Source organism: Homo sapiens, chromosome 16 (assembly GCF_000001405.40).
Source record: "Homo sapiens chromosome 16, GRCh38.p14 Primary Assembly".
NCBI lineage: Eukaryota > Metazoa > Chordata > Mammalia > Primates > Hominidae > Homo > Homo sapiens.
The window spans coordinates 83079916-83105922 of NC_000016.10; the positions used below are offsets into that span (position 1 = coordinate 83079916).

Below are 26007 nucleotides of genomic sequence, written 5' to 3' on the forward strand. Positions count from 1 at the left end.
CTGATAGACAATGTCAACTGGATAAAGTTGAGTCGCACATTTCAGTAGCTAGAATGCTTTTTAAAAGTACTTTCACGTTTGGACTAATAAAAATGACATATCTGTCTCATCCCTTTTCAAGGAAGCTGAAGTGCCTCATCAAATTTATTTTATTAGGATCCCGACAGCAATCTTGTGGCCTGGGTGAAGGTCAAGGAGGTTTTGCCTTTTGCAGAAGGGAGTAACAAGTGATGTGATGATAAAGTGTTCTTTCTCTCTCGGTTCATCCATGGTGGGAAAGAGCCCTTCAGCTCATTCTTCAGTTGGAGGTGGTTCAGGGCCCCATGTTGCTCAAATTGGTGATGACAGCCAGCTGTTTGGTCCCAATTCGCTGAGACTAGGAATTCAAACCCAGGAAAATTGAGACACCTGTGTATGAAAAGCATAAAGAGAAAATTTGGTTGCCCTCATGCTCACTCTTATGCCAAGTATTTATTCAAGAATTAAATGAATAAGAATAGGGATTTCAACTACGTTCTATCCTCCTCCTCCTCCTGCATCTGCCTGACCTTCTTGGGAGCCAGATGTTCCACTGAACACTTTGCATGCACTGTGACTATCTAATGCAATCCTTGGGACAGATCTGTGAAATAGAGTCTGTTATTAGTCCCGTTTTAAAGATGAGGACACTAAGATTCAGATGGTTTAAGTAACCTGTCCAGTGTCCACAGCTCCTGTATTAGCTGAGAGTCTTGTGCCATTATATCAGAAAAGTCTGCTTGTGTCTTACAGTCTTGATCAGAAACAAGTATATCCCTCAGAACATAGAGGCGGCAATGGGGGGTGACTTTGTTCTAACCCACAAGGAAGATTATTACATGAATAGTATGGGAATCTTGGCAGAAAATTAGTGGGTTATTTTTTAGTCCTTATTAGTAAGGACTCCAGGCAAGATAGAGTTTTGTTTTGTTTTTGTGTTTTTTTTTTTTTTTTTTTTTTTTTTTGAGACAGAGTTTTGCTGTTGTTGCCCAGGCGGGAGTGCAATGGTGCAATCTTGGCTCACCGCAACCTCTGCCTCCCAGGTTCAAACGATTCCCCTGCCTCAGCCTCCCGAGTAACTGGGACTACAGGCATGCGCCACCAGGCCCGGCTAATTTTTTATTTTTAGTACAGACGGGGTTTCTCCATGTTGGTCAGGCTGGTCTCGAACTCCCGACGTCAGGTGATCTGCCCACCTCAGCCTCCCAAAATGCTGGGATTATAAGCATGAGCCACCGCACCTGGCAAGATAGAGTCTTTTAACTTTGAAAAGTTAGGATTCAAATCAGTCTAGCCATTGAATCGTATTTATTGAGCACCTGCTGTGTATCAACCTCAGTAGAAGACCCAAGAGATATACTGGTGAATGGGATAGACATGGTCTATATTTCAGAGGCCTACTAGTATACAGTTGAAGACGGGCATTGAACACAGGATCACAGCTATGCTAATAGGGGTGTTACTGCAGGGCCATCCAACCTAGAACAAGGATCATATTACCAGCGTTTAGAGAATAGGGTATACACATGCTTTTAAATGCACAGAGTGTACCACTTCAGAGAATACTGATTTCTCCTTAGTTTGGGCTGCTATAACAATACCAGTGACTGGGTAGTATAGAAAACAAACATTTATTTCTCCCAGTTCTGGAGACCAGAAGTTACAGATCAGGTACCAGCAGGGTAGGGTTTTTGGGGAGACCTGTCCTCTTGGTTCACAGACAGCTGCCTTTTCATTGTAAACTCACACAGTAAAGAGAGAGAGAGAGAGAGAAAGAGAGAGAGAGAAAGAGCTCGCAAGGATCATCTCCTTAGAATGGTACTAATTCCATCATCGGGTTCCACCCTCATGACCTCATCTAAACCTAATTACCTTTTTTTTTTTGAGACAGAGTTTGGCTCTTGTTGTCCAGGCTGGAGTACAGTGGTGTGATCTCGGCTCACCATAACCTCCGCCTCCCAGGTTCAAGCAATCCTCCTGCCTCAGGCTCCCAAATTGCTGGGATTACAGGCATGCGCCACCACGCCCAGCTAATTTTCTATTTTTAGTAGAGACGGGGTTTCTTCATGTTGGTCAGGCTGGTCTCGAACTCCCAACCTCAGGTGATCTGCCCGCCTCGGCCTCCCAAAGTGCTGGGATTACAGGCCTGAGCCACTGTGCCCGGCCACCTAATTACTTCTTAATGGCCCAATCTCCAAATGTTATCACATTGGGGTTTAGGGCTTCAACATAGTAATTTGGAGGAGGACACAGAAGTTCAGCTCGTAACATTCCACTCTGCCCTCTCCCCACACATTTATGTCTTTCTCACATGCAAAATGTATTCATTGCATCTCAACAGCCCAAAAAGTCTTAACTCGTTCCAGCATCAATTGTCAAACAAGCTAGTACAGGAGTTGAACATTTTCCAGATTCAGAAAGATCTCCCTGCCCTTAATCCCAGCATTTTGGAAGGCTGAGGCAGGTGGATCACTTGAGGTCAGGAGTTTGAGACCAGCCTGGCCAACATGGTGAAACCCTGTATCTACTAAAAATAAAAATAAAAAAAAAATAGCCAGGTGTGGTGGTGGGTACCTGTAATCCAAACTATTTGGAAGGCTGAGGCAGGAGAATAGGAGGATTGACTGAACCCGGGAGGCAGAGGTTGCAGTGAGCCAAGACCATCGTGCCACTGCATTCCAGCCTGGGCAACAAGACAAGACTGTCTCAACAACAACAGAAAAGAAATAAAAACACCAGAAAGATCTCACTAAACTGGAGCAATGGACTAAAGCCTCAAAGAGGAAATTTCATTTATAAGGTTAGGCTGTAGAAGTAAGTACAGAATCAAGAGATTTGGCATAAGAAAAACCTACGTGGAAAAGATCAGAAAAAGTCCCTCAAGCACAGAGTCAATATTAATTAGCAAAGCATTCGGTGCTGCTGTTTTAACAGCAACAGTGAATTCGCACGTTTGTTTTTCAGGCCATGCAAAGGGAAAAATGATTTATGTCTATTCCCAGACAGTGTGTTTTAAACGGTGTCTTCCCTTTCAAGAGACTTTTCTAGTAAGAATTTTTTTTAATAGGGAAATAAGTAATAACTTTGAGAGCAATTTAACTTGATCATGAATCAGAATGATTCAGAACCACAAAAGAAGCTGATATTCTTTCATGTTCTCTAAATATCTTCACTAAATGTAAAGTAATTGGACATTTATAAGAATTCAGACTCTCCCATAACAAAAGTAATACCAATCATGGGTTGGTATAGGATGCACAGTTTTAAATACAGCATCTTACTTGATTCTCAAAATACTCTTGGGAGAAGAGCCCAACTGGTGTTTTTATGTGTAGTCACTGTGTGTCCACCTGTTTCAGTAAAGCATTAGGACAATTTACATAACTCTATACCGTACAGTATAAACAAGGCTGTGATGAAATTTGAAAGGAAGACAATAAGGATAGGAGAGCTATAAAGAAGGCAAAACAAGTGAACACAATTCCAATCTGTGTAGTCCTGCACATTTGCTGGAGGTGGAACAAAATCCTTGCCCCCATGTTATGCATATGGAAATTGAGATTTGGAGAGATTACTGACATGCCCAGTATCACAGAGCTAGTGAGTAACAGAGCCCAAAACACATCAGCCCCACCGAAATTCTGTTGTTTTCTCTAGTACTCTATGCTGCCTTCCAATAACATGAAATATGGAATTTGTATTGGAAAAGATGCCAACTCGCAGAGAAACTCGATAGAACTATAGTTGGAAGTGTCTTTTCAATATGAGCCTCTAGCTATAAATGGATGAAATTTCCACTCCCTCAAAGCTTAGAACTTTCTTACTCTTAGCAGCTCACTAGTTGTTTAACATACCTAATATTAACCATCTGGTCAGGGAGCTAAATACAATGAAGGGCATCCAGCTATTATCCCACCCATTTGCCTATCCCAAGTTATGTTTTATTAGGTTGAGTTGTCAATTTTAAATAATCAAGAAAGATAGCTCCAGGTAAGTCTCACTATCTCGTTAATAACCCTTTACCAATTGCAGCTGTTTCGAGACCAGACCTTTGCAATGAGTTTAGAAAGCTGCTGTGGACCTATCATAATTTTTACTACACTTTGTGGCCACATGAACTGGCAGAAGAGGCTGTCCTAAAATCCTAATGTGGCAAAAACCAATTTTCAGAAGTCAATTTGGATGTTATAGGTAGCGCTCTTCACACCCAATAAATTGCTTATCTTTGGCTTTGAACTGATGGGCACGTACACAAAAGATTGGAGCCAACTGATTGCATTATTAGCTGAGGAAAAAGTGTGTGACTGTGGCGAATTTAGCAAGGGGTAGTCTGGAGAAGGATCTGTGACCTGGGAAAAGTTTGTTTTGACGTGGAAGGTCAGGAGTTTTTGTTTGTCTCTTGTGTCCCTTTTTACGTTCATGTCTGTCCAGAAGTATTCATCTTCTCTTTGTGGTTTAAATGCCCTGGGCAGCTGAATTACTGTGTGACCTCCTATTGTCAGAGCATCTTTGTGGAGGAGAACCCATCACCTGTCTCTCGAAAACAGTTGTCCTTTGAACTTTCAAGATTATGGGGAAAAAATGTACTTATTTTCTCAATCATGGAGAGCATGTCCTTTAGAGATACCTTTGGCTGCAGATATGTGACACAGCTGATTTAAAATAGCTTAAGTACCCAGGTGCAGTGGCTCATGCCTGTAATCCCAACACATCCGGAGGCTGAGGTGGGTGGATCACCTGAGGTTAGGAGTTTGAGACCGGCCTGGCCAACATGGTGAAACCCCGCCTCTACTAAAAATATAAAAATTAGCCAGGTGTGGTGGCAGCACCTGTAATCCCAGCTACTCAGGAGGCTGAGGCAGGAGAATCCCTTGAACCCAGGAGGCAGAGGTTGCAGTGAGCCGAGATCGCACCATTGCACTCCAGCCTGGGCAATAAGCACAAAACTTCATCTCAAAAAATAAAATAGGTTGAGTAAGTAGAGGTGTTTTTCTTGCCTAACGAGAAGTCTCAGTGTAGGTGATGCTGGGTTTGGTTCAACTATTCAACAGTGCTATGAGAAATTCAGGCTATTCCTCTACTTCATCTCAGCATCCTTAATTGTCTGGCTTTAATCTTCATAGTTTTCCCCTTATATTGGTCTGTTTTCATGCTGTTGATAGAGACATAGCTGAGACTGGGAAGAAAAAGAGGTTTAATTGGACTTACAGTTCCACATGGCTGGGGAGGCCCTAGAATCATGACAGGGGGCAAAAGGCACTTCTTTCTTGGTGGCGGCAAGGGAACATGAGAAAGAAGCAAAAGCAGAAACCCCTGATAAACCCATCAGATGTCTTGAGATTTATTCACTATCATGAGAATAGCACAGGAAAGACCAGCCCCCAGGATTCAATTACCTCCCCTAGGTCCCTCCCACAACACGTGGGAATTCTGGGAGATACAGTTCAAGTTGAGATTTGGGTGGGGACACAGTCAAACCATATCACTCCTCATGGTGTGCAAGATGGCTGATACATGTCTAGCTATCATGTCAGCAAGACTGGGAGAATGTGGAAAGGGTGAGCCAGCCAGCCATGCTTGTCCTCTTTGGAATAAGAAAGTCTTATCAAAAACCACTAGAAGTCTACTGTTTGTCTCTCATAGGCCAGGACTGTGTTATGACACAGCTATGCTTAGCTGCAAAGGAGGCTGACACAGCAAGCATTTGGCTGTTTTATTTGTGCCTTAAACAAAATACAAGCTCTACAGCAAGAAGAAGGAGAGAAATAAATGTTAGGGAGATGAGCAACCATGTCACTATGGGTTGTATAGTCAAATACATATATTTGGGAAACGTTATTTTCTTGCTGACAGAACTTCTCAGAGGTCTCAATATGCTAAGACACATTGAAGCTCTTGATGGGGAATAGTCATTATATTTGGCATTTTGCCAGAGTAAACAAAGAACCCTTAATTTATTCTTTAGAATACCTATTAATTCAGAAGTGTTCTGAATGGCGTCATGAAATACTATGTTAGTGCCAGCTCACATCCTTTGCTGAGAGAGTTAAACGTATTTGTCTCAAATCAGCACAGCCTTCTACAGCTAAGGCAGGTGTACTGGCTGCTCCAATTGAGAACAAACAAGGCACCAGGGCCTTTGCATGTACCCCATGATGAAAAGATGGTGGCCTAAGTGCAAAATGGTTAATGAAATACCAAACTCAGATACCAGGCCACTGGTGTCTTCCAGTTCACTACATGTTTAAGGCAAAAATAAGAGAGCGGTTTTCTCAGACAGAGTCTTGAGACTACAAAACAGTCAAGACATTTCCCCAAGCAAACTCAGAAAAATATTAAGCCTAGACAATGTAGAGCGTTAGTAGTTAGGGAATGCAGTATTTCAATTCCAGATCTACCATTTATAAGCTGTGTGTTTTTGGGTAAGGTACTCTGAGACTTAGTGTTCTAATCTGTAAAAGGGGATAATTCCTTCCACTGGAGTTCTAATTAAGACTCATTAGGGTGACGATGGTTGTAAAGTGCTTATTGCAGTACAGTGGAGCTGTTTCTGTCCCAGATCCTTTATCAAGGATTGAGCCAAGCGGAATCCTTGTCTTTGTTAGTCCAAATTGGATTCCCCATTCCTCAAGGTCTTGTATAGCTTAACTTATAACTTTCAAAGCAAGATATCCTGACATTGCTGTTTTGACCTTGACATTTAAACCATGCTTTGAAATTAAGTTTTGTGTCTTTACCTTGCCAGTAGTATTTGCTCCAAGAAGTAAGTGCACACCACCAGTCTCAAATTCAGTTCATAATATTGCTGCTAAGAATGATGCACACAAAATAAAACAAGCAATGGCAAAAACTGGGCACAGTAAAATTTGCTGGAGATAGGAAATTGGCTAAAAGATCAAATATTGCTGGCATCATGAAAAACCACAAAAAAATCCTATGAAGAATTAGACTTGGCAGAAAGAACGAGAGCAAAATAAAATTATAATGGCCAAAACTACATAGAAGAGGTTTTATTATTGACTAGAAATCAATGCAAATATAAAAAAAGACTTCCTGTCAAAAATACACAACCGCAAAACTGGCTTTGGCGGACTAAGGCTACCAAAGAAAATCCACAAGTCAGCAGTTGCCATTGGTAAAATTTAACTTGGCAAAAAACAATCAATGAACCAAATAGTTGACATAAAATGTACACACAGCACAATTAATCCTGATGAAAATAATTCCAGCAAAGTAAAATTGATTTTTTTAATTCAGTTGTTTATGCCATGTAGGAAACTGATCAATGACTTAATTTGACGTGATAAAGTTTGCTTTGAGAAACATTGGATGAACAATGTTGGAAAAAGTCTGACTCATTTTATTGCTTTGAAATATATATAAAAAGCTAGCAAGGTCCAAATGATAGGATTAAAATATCCTATACTCATTTTAAATATACAATGCTTAGCACCAGCTGGACACGGTGGCTCACGCCTGTAATCCCAGCACTTTGAGAGGCCGAGGCGGGCAGATCACGAGGTCAGGAGTTCGAGACCAGCCTACCCAACATGTCGAAACCCTGTGTCTACTAAAAATACAGAGATTAGCCAGGTGCGGTGGCATGTGCCTATAGTCCCAGCTACTCAGGAGGCTGATGCAGCAGACTCACTTGAACGCGGGAGCCGGAGGTCACAGCGAGCCAAAACCGTGTCATTGCACTCCAGCCCGGGCGACGAAGCAAGACTCCCTCCGTCTCAAAAAAAAAAAAAAAAAAAAAAAAAAGCCTAGCACCAAAGTATTAGCAAGTTCCTGTTATTTATTAATGTTCTCATACTTTCATTGAATTTTTAAACCTAATGATGTTTATTTTCAAACACTTCAGTCCATTTATTATTGAATATAAAATGGGTGCTAATTACAAATGGGTCTTATGTATGCCCTTGGGTTGTCTAGCAAGATGGTTTCATAGGTAGTAATAAGAGCAGCAAGAGAAGAAAATAGTGTGGCCTTTACCTTTACTGAACACTCACTTTGGAATAGGCCTCATGCTTGGGACTGCCTCCGTCAGTGTGCAGCCTTCAGCGGCTACATTTGGAAATGGTACAAGTATTAGGTTGGCGCAAAAAGTAGTTGCGGTTTTGCCACTGAAAGTAATGGCAAATACTTAGAAATATTTAGAATATTTAGAAAGTACCTGCTGTTCTGACTATCTTAATTCAGATGTGCACTCACCTTTTGGCTCACGACAACAAAAGCCTTCGAAATTCCTGCCTGTTTAGTTTGTGTTGACACATTGCAGATTCAACTCTGACATGTTATTTCCTTATGCTGAGGGTGTCTTGTTGAGTTTCATGGGTTTTGTGCTTCCCTGGTGCCTTATTAGGCTTATAACTCACAGAGCTATGAGTTTAAATGTCAGGGTTGTCACCAAAACAATGGAGCAAAAAGCAAGTTGTTGACATTCTTTGGACGCAATTTGCAATCCCCTTTATTTTCCTGTAACGTTTTTGTGTTTCCAGGTGACAGTTGCCCACCGAACCACAGAACCACAAAGCCCAGAGTTTTAGTTACATACTGCTGCTCTAGGATCAGTAGCCCTTAGGTCCAAAAGCCGTTTCTGATACAGCCTTGGGCAAGCTGGTTCCTTCTCTGAGCCTGGGCCCCTGTCCTATAAAGTAAAGGTGTTATTACCCTTCATAGGATTGTTGTGAGAACAAAGTATTTACATTCTTCATATAATCAGAACTTTTCCAAAAACATGGGATCTTTTACATGGCTCAACATGTTTAAAGCTGTTTATGTTCATCTGATATTTTAACATTTTGTAGAGTAGAAAATGCTTCAAGCAAATAAATGAGCTTTATGGTAATTTTTTTTGCCAGCATTTAGAAGCTGGTGGTTAATAAATACTAATATGTATTTAGAAGTTTAGAACAGAGATTTTTCAGCAACAACCACAGGCTAGATATAGCCCACTACCTGTTTTTGTCAATAAAGCTTTAATGGAACATAAGCATGGCCATTCATTAATATATGATCAATAGATTTTTTTTGGTACAAGGGCAGAATTGAGTAGTTGCAATACAAACAGTGTGGATTACAATGCCTAAAATATTTACTACCTGGTTCTTTATAGACAAAATTTACAGACTCCTGAGGCAGGGTTTTATCAATTCCTTTCCATGTCTATGGATTTAGATATAAGCGTATATTTTGTTAAATATTACAGCAGACTTTGAGGTGGCTATCATCTCCATTTTACAGATGTAGAGGATCAGGCTCACAGGTAGTGAATGGCAGAACCAAGGATGAATTCCAGCCCACTAACGTCACATCTCTATTTGATCATTAGCGTATAGACTTTTGGTCCTTCATAAATTTTACTTTATAAAGATATTTTACGTTGTATAATTGATGTCATGGCCATATTGTTTAATCATCACTCACCATGCACCTATTGTGTGGCAGGCACTATTCTATCCATTAGGGCACAATAGTGAACGAAAAACTTGCTGCCATCAGAGAACTTGTGTTCTGGGCTTTCATGCACCTGCCTTGCAGGCGTCAGGAATCTGAATCACACTCATTCCCTCCATCACTTGGCTCACCAGTGGGACCAGACAGGAGTCCTGCAGTTTCAGCAATGAACCCCAGGGCTTGGTGCCTGCTCTGGAGGTGGGGAATGGGGTTCACAGTTTAGTGGAAGATTGCCTTTAGGGAGCACTCTTGGTTTCTAGAACCTGATATAGATGAGGGATGTAATGAATTCGAGTCTGAATGTTTATTTGCCATGGACTTCTATCTCACGACTTTGCTATAAGGGCTACACGTCGGAAATGGGATCTAAGTAAACGTAGAGTCCACAAGTTTCAGGACTTATATAGATGAGTGAATCTCAGATTTTCACGTGCATACAGATTACCTGAGGATCTTGTAAAAAATGTAGTTTCTGATTTCAAGTCTCTGGGATAGGGCCTAGGACTCAGCATTTATAACGACATCCTAAGAGATGCTCTGAGGACCATACTTTGCATAGCAAGAAATGAGAACAGTCCAGGAGCCTCTAAGATCCCTCACATTTGAGGCTAGAAGCATGTAACATGAATGGGTTCTCAAACCTAAAAGTCAGGGCTTGGGCATAAACTAAAACTGTGATCACCTCGCGTAGATTTGAGGCTTTGACTGGTCGTCAACCCCACCCACAAAAGCCTACAGCTTCCTCCTACCCCAGGTCCCAGCTTCTCCACTTCTCTCCAACTACCTCCCACTTTTCCTCAATTTCAGGCTCTTTCGTGCCTCCAGCCCAGTCTACAGCATGTTCCCTGGTTCAGACCATCCCAATCAGACCCCTATAGAGATGCCAAGCCATTCGTTTGTGGGCCGGGCACGGTGGCTCATGCCTGTAATCCCAGCACTTTGGGAGGCCGAGGCGGGCAGATCATGAGGTCAGGAGTTGGAGACCAGCCCGACCAATATGGTGAGACCCTGTCTCTACTAAAAATACAAAAATGAGTTGGGCATGGTGGTGCACCCCTGTAATCCCAGCCACTTGGGAGGCTGAGGCGGGAGAATCGCTTGAACCCAGGAGGCAGAGGTTGCAGTGAGTCGAGATCGCGTCATTGCACTCCAGACTGGGCGACAAAGCGAAACTGCATCTCAAAAAAAAAAAAAAAAATAAGTGCTTGTCTCTGCTCAAAGAGAAGTCAGAAATGGCAGCAACATTCCTAGCCCAGGCTCTGCACTCTCGGTAATCCCTCTGACTGACTCTCAAGTCTTCCCCGTCTGTCTGCTCCGACTGCACGAGTTGGTGATTAAACTTTAAAACAACAATTAGACCCTTGATTTTCAAAGCAAACTTGGTTTATAGACCAGACTTCAGCATTCATTACAATACAGACTAATAAAAACAAATCCGGAAACATACGCTTTTTAAGCTGTGGTGGTGTGAAATCTGTAACAGCATTAAAACCATTTTGAAAAAAAAAAAGTCATTTGGGAACCCCCAGCAAAATACTGTGTGGATATTCTTTTCTATTCCTCATTCAAGTATATTGCATATATATAAACATAATATATATGTTTGTTACTGTAATTTTTCTACTTATTATATAACATTTTCTATGTTGCTACATGATCTTTGTAAATATTATTTTTAAAGACTGTACAATATTTCATGTAGTTGACAAGCCACAATATTTGTAAACATAAAACATTTCTCCCCTGGGAAATATTTTAGTGATCTCCTTCTTCCTTTCTCTCTCTTCTTCTTTCTTCCTTCTTTCCTTCCTTTCTTTTCTCCTTCTCCTCCTCTTTGCTTTTCCCCCTACTCCCTTTTTCTCCATCTTCTGCTATCAGAAAAAAAAAAATTCCATGAGCACTTGGTAACCATCTACTTTATGTTGAATTATTTCCTAGGGTAAATTCTCAGTCAGTAGTAGGAGGCATATTTTTCCCATTCAATGTAGTTTGAGAAGCCCAATGACCAAATCATGAGATGTTGCCATTCTCTATGAAAATCACAAAGGATGACTCCCTAAATACATTTTATGTCTACAGAGAAACTGTATAATTCTGACATTAATTTCAGTTCCTTACAACTGCCTTCATTCCTTGGGGAGGGTACTGAAATGAGCTCCAGCTGGAGACTAAGTCAGCTCAAGCCACTAAGTCATGGGCTGGTCTTGCACAAATTATTTTCTGTTTCTCTGTTTCTGTAAGCTTACAATTTATATATTGTATATTTTATAAACATACCTCATCAGATAAGGTTATAGTGAAAAATATATCTGCTAGGGTATTCACTTCATAAGGGAAGGCTTTTTTGTCTGTTTTGTTCACTACATACTATATCCCCAGCATCTATAGCAGTGCCTGGCACATGGTGGGTGTATAATAACTGTTTGTTTCATGATTCATTTTTTAAAAGATCTAGAAAAAGAAATCTTTACTCCAAAGGGTTTGAAGCAGTGATTCATAAGTATTTTAAGAATAAATGTATCTTTCACACCTGTGTGCCTATAAATATAATTTCACAAATAATTCTAGTAAGTTCAGAGAATCTAGAAATTTTTTTCTGTGCATACCAGGCAATGCTGGCATTAAAAATTTATTTTGAAAATCCTCTAAGTTCTAATTCACTTGACATTATCCTACCAAGTTAAAGAACCATGAAATAATAAGTAATTCATATCACTGCATTCATTTCTCATTATGGACTGTCAAAATTGACATTCTTGTTCCCGTTTTATAGAAGCAAATCTTAGACTCAGAAAATTTCAAAGAACTTATCCAAAGTGACACAATTCTTCAATAGAGAGCAGGGACTACAACCTAAATTTTCTAATTCAAGTCCAGTAGGGTCTGCCTTAAATGCCTCCCACTGTCACCGTGTTGATTTGTATAACCTTTGTCTTCCTAGCATTTGATTGACGGCTACTGTTAGTACAGATCATCTGGGCTCCTTGTAGTGATGGACACATTTTCATGAGGCAAGGTCTTAGATGATTAAAACAAGGCAGATGCTAATGCCATCCTCACCTTCATCTGGAACTGTCTAACTAGAGTTCGTTAACTTGTCAGCCCTAGTTCCTTTTGAGCACCAGGCTGATATAATAAAATATTGCAAATCAATAGAAGCTTTAAAGAAGCTTCATCTGTCTTTCTTTGTTACTTTTTTCCTTTCTTCTTCTTTTATTACTACTTCTTTCTTTGCCGCTTTAAAGGGAAAACTGCTATCCCTCTTATTGGCTGTACAATTCTGTTTTCTCTGTTTATTTTGAGTTGTTGGAAATTCAGGTACATCCAGGTTTTCCCAAATACACCTATTATTACCCCAAAGAGTAGGAAGCCGATCTTATCTAGATTCACTCACCAAATCTAGAATCTCCCAAGAGACTCCAAATTTAGTACATTAATTTTTCTTAAGTATAACATTGCTCAGTAACTATGTGGGTGAAGATCTGAAAGTTCTGCAGCACTGTTTCATTTATAAAAATAAAGGTAACGGTACTTTTGCGCAAGATTTGTGTGGAATCTAAAAACTTCCCCAAGTTAGTAAGGAAGGCACTGTGATAGTATCTACTAATGAAAATGTGAGCACAGAGATGGTTATAAAATACCTTATTTTTCTCTTCTTCATTATTATTGCTCATTTCATTTGATTAGCAATTTCTAGACTCACTCAACCTCCATCTATAAAAGAAACCATTAGTCTTTGCCTATGTCTGCTAAAGCGAACTTCTTGTTCTGTCTCATCTTCATTCCCTACTCAGTTTCTGTCTTCTCCAGCCCTTCTTACATTATTGAAATAATTGACTCTATCAGGTGGATTTCTCCAGTTGAACACATTTGGATTTGTCCTGTGGAAACACCATAAGTACTTTTTTTTTTTTTTTTTTTTTTTTTTTTTTTTTTTTTTGAGGTGGAGTCTTCGTCTTTTGCCCCGGCTGGAGTGCCGTGAGTGGCACAGTCTAGGCTGACTGCAACCTCCACCTCCCGGGTTCAAGCGATTCTCCTGCCTCAGCCTACTGAGTAGCTGGGATTATAGGCACCCACCACCATGCCTGGCTAATTTTTTGTATTTTTAGTAGAGATGGGATTTCACCGTGTTGGCCAGCCTGGTCTCGAACTCCTGACCTCAGGTGATCCACCTACCTCGGCCTCCCAAAGTGCTGGGATTACAGGCATGAACCACTGCTCCCAGCCCACCATAAGTACTTTAATATGCTAATTTATTTCAAACAATATGGGAATCAGTTCAAAGCACATAGTCTCTTCCATGCACATCTTCATGCCGGAATTTGCTAGGCGCTTGTACCTCCACTCCCTTCTTCTCAGTCCTTTGTCCAAGGAATTCTTCCCTCAAAGAGTTCTCAGTCGGAAAGCATGTATAAGACAAGAAAATAAATGGATACCAAAATCAACAAGTGAAGTAAATTCCCAGAAAGCACTTGCAATAGTATATGATAAGAAGTGGGAACTCCGTAAAAGAGGCAGAAAGGAAATACCTGAAAAGGTTAAGCAAGCGAGTAATAGCCTGGAGAGAAGAGTTACAGAAATGTTTCATAGAAAAGGTGATCTTTGAGGTGAGCTTTTATGAATAGGCAAAATTTGGGTAAAGAGGTAGACCCATTTTTAAGAGCAGGGTGACATGAAAATCTCAGGATATATTACTCAGCAATTAATCCTCATTGTTGTAACAAATAGTTACAAAATTCTCGTTGCATGGCTCTGGCTTAACTGCAAAGCAAAGTAGAAAATGGAGAAGCTCCCAGGCAAGGCCAACAACGCCTGGTCTGTGCTGCACGTGAAGATATCTGAGCACTTGTGACCCCTGCTTTGCCCTCTTTGTCATTGCAATGGGGTTACTGGGAAAGCCTCTCCCATGGTGGTTGACAAGAGGGAAACTTTGGGAAATGTTCTCAGGAGTAACCCACATTATTTTCACGCCTGAAAGATGCAAGGTTGGATAGAGAGAGAAGTTGGGCTGTGGTACGCTTACAACAGAGATCTCAACTGACCCTGCAGAGAGCTTTAAGATGAGGAGAACCCTTCTGTGTTGTCCTTACTCAGGACAAGGAGCTGAGGTCTTATGCCTCCACATTGACTAGTCATTGAATGTAGGCTCATTTCAGGAAGGGAGTATAATCTTGGGAGAGGTGCTGTCTTCAGCAGAAGGCAAGGCCTCTTAGTTTATAGCTGTCAGCCTCCAACTTCCCAGTGGCTGAAAGAATGAATGCTTCAGTTCCAAATAAAGGGATCTGAGCAGCAAATCCCATCGTCCTGTATTTTCATTGAAGTAGCATTTCATAACCAGTAACAACTGTCTTCCCCTGAAAGTGTGGTTTAAATTTAAAGTTGGTGACTTCCTTCTGACTTGTCAAGGCGTGGGCATACGCAATTTTTTCCTCTATGGTTATAGCTTCCAAACTGTTAGCTATATAGATACCTACTTTTTAAGATAAGTGAGACCTCAATCACAATTAACTCTGTAAGTTATTGAAAACCGGTTTGATGATGATCATCATCATCCTGTGTACACCTTGTGTGAGCTTGAGGTCCTATTGTAGGATTAATCATCAGAGCAGTATCTGCAGTCTGCAGTGCATTTCTTCTTCTTTATTTGTTTAGAAAAATCCCACTCTTCCTCCCAAAATTAACTTTATTGTCAACTTGATAAGAAGATTTCTGAACAGAAATAAAATAACCCTGATTTGTGGTGTTTGCCAATTACTGTGGTATAAATACTCACACTGTGGCTGATGCCAAGCTACAAACATGACATCATGGAATTGGAAGAAATAGTAAAAATCATTTATACCTTCTCCAAAACACTCACTGTTCCCAAAACTTTCACCTCAATAATTCTGTCCACTGGTATATCAACATGGTACTGGTGTAGTAATGATCCATTCCAGGTACGGACAAAAAAAGATAAATAAAACAACAAAAAACTTACTAAATGCCATATGGTTTTATCATCTTGTGCTGGCAATTTGTAAACATCATCAGTGATAAAGTACTTCTCCCAAATGGGATGAATCATACCTATCCTCACCCTGCTTTTGGACACTGGTATATCCTCTCAAAGGCATTAATAACTATGTTATAATGCAAATATCACGTTATCTTTCTATGATTTTTCTAACCCAATAGACTGTGAGTTCTTCAAGCTTATGTATTTGGGTACAGAACACCTCGCCAAAATCCTTGGCATATGGTAGATGCTCAACACAGGTGCACTAACTTGTTAGTTGAAGTGACCGGTACAACCTAGTTAACTGAATCAGAACCATGAATTCAGAGGATAGTAGTAAAAAATCAAGTTCATGAAGTTTTTAATGAGCAGTATGTTTTGCCTAAGACTCTATGATTCTCACTGTGGAATGAACCACATAGACTCCAGAATGTGTCTTTTCTTAAAGGCAATAGAGGCATGCAGTGAATAAAATGCACTGAGAGAAGCCCATAAAACAATATTCGTAAGTACAGAGAAAGGCAATATTAATGCCAATTTCAGGGGATCTGTTCAAGTTCACCGGAAGGCAGAGTTTTTAGCAATTTTTTAAAGGTTGAACATGTCTTTAGGAGGTAGCAACAAGACAAAGGTCCAGGAAGAGGGTGTGATGCAGTGGGGAAGCATGCAGTCACCTTGTGCCGAACTTAACAGGTCAAGAACTCCGTATGTGAATAATGGTGGAAATATGTGGAGTTACAGGTACAACTCTGTAAGGGCATTAGCCTGTACCAGCTATCATTGCGTACCAGGCTATGTGTGGACTTTGTCCTTGTGAATCTGGTAAAAGTTAATCATCAGGTCTCAGGAGTTCAGCAACCGACCATCATGAGCTATATAGTATTAGTCTGCAGCTCTACCTGAGAGCAGCCCAGAAACCAAATAGGAATATATCAGACATTATCCCAGAGAGAAGGCTCAGTCAAGGATCTGCAGCTGGGACCTGCATATCTTAATTCCCCTGTTCCTGGGAAAGTTATCCAATAGCTACTGAAATACAAGATGGAAGGTATCCTCTCTGTACCATAGCTAAAGGATTGCTCACAAAAATGAAAGTGCAATTACAGAAAAATTATCCTTGGGCTATGACCACATCTCCTGAGTATTTTATTGCCACCACGACTCATGATTTCAATTCTCAGGACTGAGTATCTCTGCTGAACGCAAATTTAAATTCTTAATATGAGAAGCTGCGCTTTCCAGTCGTGTGTCAATGCAAAGTGAGCGGATTTGGGTTTAACTCCCTTGGACTGAGTGCAATTATATGTTGGGAGGGGACTAACAAGGTAGCCCATGTAACAATACTGTCGTAATTATGTGCAATATTTTCATTTTTACTTCTGATCAACCGCAAGAGTAGATTGAATGCTATTGTTCAGTTTGCACTTAAAAATGATGATTTTTTTATACCTGGAGTTTAACATCTGAGTTTTTGTTTAAAGGAAAAATTGTCCTTGCCTTTGAAAGTTAGGGTCATGTTAAAATATTTACTAATTCTCATAAAATATTTTTTTTCTGAGCACGGTTGAAAATAAAAATATCTTGGTCCTGTCCTTTGAATAATGTCAAGATTGAGTGTACCTCTGGAGAAATATTGATAGAGACTCAAAGCAATACCACTCTCCCTTGTCACTTTTCTCTGTGTACTGTGGACAAGTTGCTCAACCTCATTCAAACTCAGTTTTTCTCAACAAAATTTGATATCACCATAAAGGAGGAGACTCGGTTGCCTTTGTTTTTATTATTAAAAGGAAGCATTGAGTCTAACTGATATGAAACATTTCTGTATATGCCTAAGAACTTATGAAGCTCATAGGATAAGAATTCTTGGCAATCCAAATAATCTCACATTGTCTCTAATCTGTTATAATGCTGCTCTTGCCTCATAACTTTTGTTCTTTGTATTCCTTAAAAAGACCTAAGAGAGCTCAAGATTATGGGGTGCTGCCAAATATAACACTAGTCTTCTATTTTTATTTTTAAATAAAACTTTGTAATTGGTAAAGTCACAGAATCAGTGTGCATATGATCAAAGTCTATAAAATAATGAACCATGCATAATTGCAGCAGAGTTACCAAGGAAGGCTGTAAGGATGATCTCACTGGTGCAGCCAATACCCCAGTAATCAATATGGATGCCTGGGTGACAACTCCTTCCTTCCTAACTTTCACAGCTTGCCTGACTGGGATAGCCAAGGAAGGCATCTGTGAAGAGGCAGCATCTTTAGAGTTTATGTGGGAAGTGCACTCTAGGTAAGACAGATGCTATATACAAAAGCAGGAAAATGTAAAATTTGTTCGTAAAGAGCAACTAGTTGCATTTGATCTAAAGTAGATGATTCCAGTACAAAAAGGAAATTACAGAAGTTTTCTCAGCTCCAATTTTAGAGAGCCTTTAATATCATGCTAAGAGGGTAGAGTAGACCACATTCCACAAAGAAGAAACAGTATTTTATTTGTTCATTCCTTCTTACAAAAAATATCCACCTAGTACCTACTCTGTACTAGCTTAAAGGTAACTTTTGAAAAAAAAAATTTTATAATGCCTAGTCAAGAAGCATATCTGGATGGAATGAAGGAGAATGAGACTTCAGGGCAGGAAAGAAGGCAAGTTAGGATACTATTGGGATGGTCCAGATAAGAGAGAGCACCGTCTGAAGGGTCTGGCTTATAACAAAGAGGAAATAATCTTTGAGACCAAACAGAAAAGTGTAGCCTCAAGAAATATTCTTTGTCATCCTAGTGGTTGCTTTAGAATTTGTAGTATACATCTTTAACTTATCACAGTTCGTGTTAAATAATATTATAGCATTTCATATATGGTATAAGAACCTTACAGTAAAACACTTTCATTTTCTCCTTTCCCAGCCTTTGCACTACTGCTCCTCTGGTTTTTAGTTGCTCATAGGTTGTAAACTCTACATTACATTGCTATTATTTTTTACTTTAAACAATCAATTTTCCTTCTAAACATAGAAAAAGGCATATTTTTCCACATATACACCACTTTCTGTGCTCTTCATTCCTTTGTGTAGATTCATATATCCATCCAACATTATTTTTGGTTTGGATGAAGGACTATTGAACATTTCTTACAATGAGGTTCTGCTGGTGATGAATTCCTTCGCCTTTTGTATGTGCATCTGAAAAAGTCTTACTTTTGCTTTCAATAATGGGAGATATCTTCACTGGATACAGAATTCTGAGTTGACAAATTTTATTTTTCTTTGAGCATTTCAACGGTTCACTCCATTATCTTCTGACTTGCATTGTTGCTAACAAGACATCTGCTGTCATTCTTCTCTTTTTCCTCTGTGTGCCATGTGTCTTCTTCCCTCTAGCTGCTCTCAAGAATTTATTTTTATTAGTGGTTTTGAGCAATTTGATTATGATAAGAAACATTTTTGAGTGGAGAATCAAGGGAAGGTTGAAACAGATAAGACGTCAATGCTGGGAAAAAAGGTTAATTGTGAGACTGGTTGTTCCTTATTTGAGCCTGATAATAACAATCTCTTCAGGTACAGGACAAATGTCATGACAGAATGCACTTTAAAAGAAAAATAATAGCTAACACTTGAAGATTGCTATATATACCTATGTGTGTGGGTGTGTATGTATACATACACATATACATATATATGCACATACACACCCACACACACATACATAAAGATAGTGTTCATACATATAAGATCTAACTTCTAAGATATATAAGATCCTATTCTAACATATTTAATATGTTGCATATATTAGAATATATATTTGAACAGTATCTCATACAAAGTATGTTTACACAAAGTAGGTGCTCTTTAAATGTTAACTATTACATAAATGTACACACACACATTTTACACTAAAAACAATTCTATGATGTAGGTAGTATGATAATCTTCATTTTACACATTTTTTTTAAGATGGAGTTTCACTCTTGTCACCCAGGCTGGAGTGCAACGGTGCAATCTCAGCTCATTGCAGCCTCCGCCTCCTGGGTTCAAGTGATTCTCCTGCCTCAGCCTCCAGAGTAGCTGGGATTACAGGCACCTGGCACCATGCCTGGCTAATTTTTGCATTTTTAGTAGAGACAGGGTTTTGCCATGTTGGCCAGGCTGGTCTCGAAGTCCTAACCTCATGTGATCTACCTAACTCAGCCTCCCAAAGTGCTGGGATTATAGGTGTGAGCCACCGTGCCGGGCCTCTACATATTACTTCTAATCCTTAACATAACAGCCCATGATTCCACTCTTTCAATCTCGTTTCTTTTAACTTTGAACCATTCTTTGCCAATTACTTTACCTACCTGTGTCTCAGTTTCTTCATTTGCATCATGAAGCTAATAATAAAACCAAAAGGCTGTTTTGAGTATTAAATGAGATAATTCATTTGAAAAGTGCTCAGCATAGCGCCAGACGCGGGAGAGCACTCAGTAAGAGTGAGGAGGTGGTACTGTTATCGCTGCTGTTTTATGCTTTCTTCTGCCTGCGAGTTCCCACTTGGTTCATTCAAAGCACCCACACTGTCCTACAAAGCCAAGTTAGCATGCAGCCTACTGCCCTGATCATGCAGTCACAATCTCTGTTTCTGCTAACAGTCAGTAAACACAATTTAGCATCTCGATGGGTTTCATTGCTCCACATAGGCTCATTTAGACTTTTCAACTAGATTAACTCATCACTCATTCAATTCGTGTGCTGTCTGAGGACACACCAGGTGCCAAGGACTGTTCTGGTTTACTAGGGTTAGAAAGGTAAATAAGAAAGATAAAAATTAAATCCCTGCCTCATGGATCTTATGTATGGGGGTGGGGGAGACAAACAAAAATAATATAAATAAGTAAAATATGTGGTATGATAGATGAAAACAAGGGACATAGATACAAATAAAGCACAGAAGGGAAATAGGAAGTGTTGGGGATACCATATATTTTGGATACCGAGGTCAAATTTCACTGTGTGGGCAGGATTATCTCACCCATTTCAGAAGAGAGGAAACTGATGCTCAGAGAAGGGTGGTGAATTTTTTCATTTCATGCAGCATTGGTTTAGAGACAAGATAGAAATCAAGATTCTCCAACTTACAGTCCAAGACATATTTCTGTAGCGGGCAGAAGCTGAACTCTATTTGTGCTCCTAGGTGGAAAACAATGGTCCTGTAGTCCTCATCACCATTTCCCATGTCTGAAACTGTCTTTGTCTACCTCTTTTCAGTTCTTCTCAACTTCATAACCTATTCTTGCTGTATCTAAAAAGCATTAATGATCCACTGGCATAAGAATTTTGGGTTAGCTCAAGCCAGGTAGGATAGACTTGACCATATGTTCGTGCAAGTTACAAACAGCCATCCCCTTAGGGTATACACTTGCAGCACCCATGGGTGTGTGGTTGCAGAACACAGGGTAAATTTCAGCCCTCAGCCACTTCCTGCAGGGACTTTTGTACAGCGTACAACCTTTACCACCATAAATGGAGGCTTTTTGTATTTCACACATCATTTAACTAGTGAAAGTTGCATAATAGATACTCAGTGAATCATGGATGATTGAATTCTTTCTCATTTTTCATTTCCTATATGATTCAGATCCTTTATATTTCAGTTCATGGTAAAGGACAAAAATTATTTGTCAAATATTGATTGAGCACCTACTATATGCCAGACACTGGTCTAGGCACAGGGGTACAGCTGTGGAAAACTGACAAAAATCCCTGCATTTATGGGGCTTACATTTATAATATATATTTATATATCATTTGTCTCTTCTTAATAGAAAAGTATATAGAGGTATGTATATATACATACATGCACATATACTATATACTATAAGTATATATACTTATGTATACATATACATATACAGATATATACTTTATGTGTATTATATATAGTGTATTGTATACATGTTTATATACTATATATGTGTAGTATATATAGAACACCATATATATGCTTATATACTCTATGTCTATTATATATAGTAATGTATATATTTAGTATGTTAGATTGTGATATTGCCAAAAAAAAAAAGAGTAAAATAAAGCACAGGAGGGGAAATGAAGTTTGAAGGATGTTTTAGAAATACTGGGTAGAGGCTGGGCGTGGTGGCTAATGCCTCTAAGCCCAGCACTTTGGGAGACCGAGGTGGGTGGAATCACATGAGGTCAGGAGTTCGAGACCAGCCTGGCTAACATGGCCAAACCCCATCTCTACTAAAAATACAAAAATTAGCTGGGTGTCGTTTTGCATGCATGTCATCCCAGCTACTGAGGAGGCTGAGGAAGGATAATCAATTGAACCTGGGAGGCAGAGGTTGCAGTAAGCCGAGATCGTGCCCCTGCACTCCAGCCTGGGAGAGAGAGTGAGATTTCATCTCAATAAGGAAATAGTGGGTAGAGTGGCCAGGACAGGGCTCATGGAGTAGGTGACTTGTGAGGAAAGGTCTGAGGAAAGTGAAAGAACTGCTGTGGAAGACAGAACCAAGGCCCCAGGATTGTTCACATTCTACTCCTTGGAACCTGTGAATGTGTTACCTTATATGGCCAAATAGACTTTGCAAATGTGATTCAAGTTAAGGATTTTGGATTATGTTGATGGGTCCAATGTTATCACCAGGGTCCTTATGAGAGGGAGGTAATGTGTCAGAGCCAGAAAGGGATTTGAAGATGCTACGCTCCTGGCTTTGAAGATGAAGGAAGGGTCCATGAGCCAAGGAATGCAGGCAGCCTTTAACAGTTGGAGAAGGCAAGGATACCTTCTGGTGTACATCTTCCAGAAGGAACACAGTTCTGATGACACCTTGATTTTAGCACAGGAAGGTCTGTTTGGGACATTCGACCCCAGAAATGTAAGATAATAAATGTGTGTTGTTTTAAGTCGCTGAGTTTGTTATGACTTGTTATAGCAGCCATTGGAAACTAATACAGCAATTCTGTGGCTATCTGGCGGAAGAGATACCCAGGCAGGGAGACCAGCAAATCTGCAGGCTCTGAAGTGGGGGTGGGTCTGGTGTGCTCCAGGATGCCAGTGTGCCTGGACTGAGCTGGAGTGAGTCAGGGGAGCTTGCAGTAACAGGGGCAGAGTGCAGATGACATGAGATTACATGACACACTGTAACCCGGAACAAGGACACTGGCTTCACTCCAGGTGCTAGGAGATCGCACTGGAAGCTACGAAGCAGAGGAGGGACATCACCCAGTTCACGTTTCAACAGGACCGCTCTGGCCACCCTGGGGGAGGGTGGTGAGGAAGAGGATGTAGAGGTATAGTCAGGAGATGTGGAGCAGTTAGGAGGATTGTGTTTTGATCCAGGAAAAGATGATTTTGGCTTGGAGCAAGGTGGTGGGAATTGGATAAGGGTAAGAGGGTAAGAAATAGTTATATTGTGAATGTATTTTGAAGATGGAGGTCATTAACCAGAAAAGGGTAAATGTGATACATGTAGGCTGAACTGGAAGAGACAGTGAATAAAATTCCTTTGCTAATTAAACTTTCTTTTTTTTTTTTCTTTTTCTTTTTTTTTTTCTTTTTCTTTTTTTTTTTTTTTTTTTTTTGAGGTGGAGTCCTGCTCTGTCACCCAGGTTGGAGTGCAGTGGCACAATCTCAGCTCACTGCAGCCTCTGCCTCCCTGGTTCAAACAATTTTCCTGCCTCAGCTTCCGAAGTAGCTGGGATTACAGGAGTGTGCCACCACGCCCAGCTAATTTTTGTATCTTTAGTAGAGATGGGGTTCCACCATGTTGGCTAGGCTGGTCTCAAACTCCTGATCTCAAGTGATCCACCCACCTCAACCTCCCAAAGTACTGAGATTACAGGCGTTAACTGAACTTTTTTTTTTTTTTTTTTTTTGAGACAGTCTGGCTCTGTTGCCCGGGATGAAGTGCTGTGGCGTGAACTCAGCTCTCACTGCAACCAGTGCCTCCAGGTTCAAGCAATTCTCCTGCCTCAGCCTACTGAGTAGCTGGGACTACAGGCACGTGCCACCACGCCCGGCTGATTTTTATATTTTTAGTAGAGATGGGGTTTCACCATGTTGGCCAGGCTGGTGTCGAACTCCTGACCTCAAGTGATCCACCCACCTCGGCCTCCCAAAGTACTGAGATTACAGGCATGAGCCACCGTGCCCGGCTAATTAAACTTTTAATGTGGAAAGACAGCACATGCAGGAGATAAGAGGTAGAGTGGGTGATGGTCCAGGCTCTGAGCGGAATGGCCTGTGTTCAAATGCTGGCTTCTCTAACTTACCAGAATTACGTATGTCCTTGAGCAGAGTGTTTAACCTTCCTGTGCCTCACTTTCCTCATCTGTAGTATGGGATACATCACAGAAATTGTGTATCAAAGGGGGAAAATGTTTGCAAGACTTAGTGCCTAATTCACAGTAAGTGCTCAAAAAATGCACACAGTAAGTGCTCTGTCATTTTCTAGAACACATTGATGTTTAAAAAAATTTTCCTACTTGTAAAACAGTCAAAGAGTTCAGTGTGAAGTATTTGCAAAAAATTTGAAATAAAAAATTACTCCTTTCCTGTGGGGCAAGTTCACAGAATAGCTGGTATGCTGACAATTTTCTCTTGGTCCCATAATAGTTTTTCAGAGTTTCATTATAAAATAGTTGCTGTATTTGCCAATGCAGACTTTGAAGAAGGAGACTGATCCTTCTGGCTTTTAAAGAAGAATGAGTATTACACGACCATTGAATATTTATAACACTCTCTTCTCTTTTTAAAGCTGTTGTTGTTTTACCATCCTAACATCAAAACCACTGGGCCCAGGGAAACCTCAGATGTGGGAGAATATCAAATGTGGAACTTTTCCTTGTTTTTCCTGGTGGATCTGACACACCTTGGAACCTTCAAAGAACACAGTAATCAATGACGTGGGGAGACGTGAGACATCGCATACATTATTGTGAAGAATTTATTAATGTAAACTGCATGGTGTGGAATAGAGGTTGGGGCTGAATGAAAATGTGAGGCTCTGTAATGCGACAAAAAACACAGAGCAGAGAGAAGAGAGAGGCCAATGAAAGACACTTTGCTGATTTGGGACTTCACTAAAGAGAGCCACATAAAAGAGAAATTATTGTTTAAGTAGGTTAAGGCAACCCTAGTGTTTTAATTAAAATGTCTTTAGCAAAAAAGGAAGAAGAATAGTACTTGAGGTTTGGGGAAGGCTTCAGTGAAAGAAGAAATGTACCAGGCGGTGGCGGGGGTGGGCGGGGGAAATAGTGTAATTTAGGTTAAATATTGTGAATAACTCCCCAAGCCGAATAATGTTGAATTTCAGTCGTAGGAGATATTTAAGAATTGGTTGAACAAAGGGGGCAATTGACTTTGGTGGTTAGTGTGGGAGACAGCTTTCTAATTTTAGAGTTTGCAGCCATAACATTATGAAGCTAACGAACAAAAACAAGCCATGTAGATAAAACCAGGAGAAATAAGGATCTGAAAAATGGACCAAATCGATCGAGTTCTGGCAATGAGTGCTTCCTTTTCGTAAATACAAGGGCAGTGCTCTGCATCTTCTCCCTCTCTCATTTTCTCTGAGAAAGGAACGTGCCATTCTTTTTTCTCTCTCTCTTTTGGCATTCCTTTTTTTAACTTTTAAGTTCCGGGGTACACGCACAGGATGTGCAGGTTTGTTACATAGGTAAACGTGTGCCATGGCGGTTTGCTGCACCCGTCAACCCATCACCTAGATATGAAGCCCAGCATGCATTAGCTATTTTAAGAGGAGGATCGATTTCACCCTTTTTGGAAAACTCAATCTGGGGCCTGCTTTCCCCAGGATCACCGTAAGATTCTACCTGAGGAGCTGAGTTTTCCTAAGAATGAAAAAGCAAAGAGACCCCTGGTTTTGTATTTGATACAAAGTCAAACGCTGTTTTTCTCTGAGTCTGTCCTGGAATAATCCAGTGACATCCACCATCATCTGCATCTCCCATGGAACCACCACATGTGAAGTCGAGGCTGAGCGCAGGGTGGCTGCACCATCCACATCAACAGCCAGCACTGCCTTCTGCCAGTTTATGAGGCAATTCGGCTGCCAGGGAGAGGAGAACAGTGTCCCTTCCAATCCGATGAGTAAATGCCTCAGGTGTTAGGTAAAACCCCAAGGTTTTTCTCTTCTCTGGGGCCACCCTCAGGAAAGGAAAACTCCAAAAACTTCTTTGGGAAAAAGAAAAAAGAGGTTGCCATGTGATATTAGATGGCATGAATTAAATAGATACTACTTATTAAAGTTAAAAAAAAAATAAAGCCTGCATTTGCATGGTAATGGGACCTGGCAGATGAAACCAGAAATTGATAGAAACCACCCCCAAATCATCATCTAACCTGTACTGAAGAATGACGCACATAATGTACAACAGGCAGCCATTGTCATGTGTGTGTATGTCTGTGTGTATCTGTGTTATCAGGCAGGTAGTGAAGACCAGGAGGGAGAAAGTAGTGAGTCAGCGAAGATGGTATCCCAGTTAGAGAAACGACACAATGAAGGCATGAAG

At 40.4% G+C, this 26007-nt stretch overlaps 1 protein-coding gene across 9 annotated transcripts in view; it reads left to right on the top strand.

Annotated features, from left to right (window-relative positions):
* Positions 1-26007, top strand: part of CDH13 (cadherin 13) — a 1173672-nt gene that overhangs the window by 452947 nt on the left and 694718 nt on the right. The gene's annotated exons all lie outside the window — the stretch shown is intronic.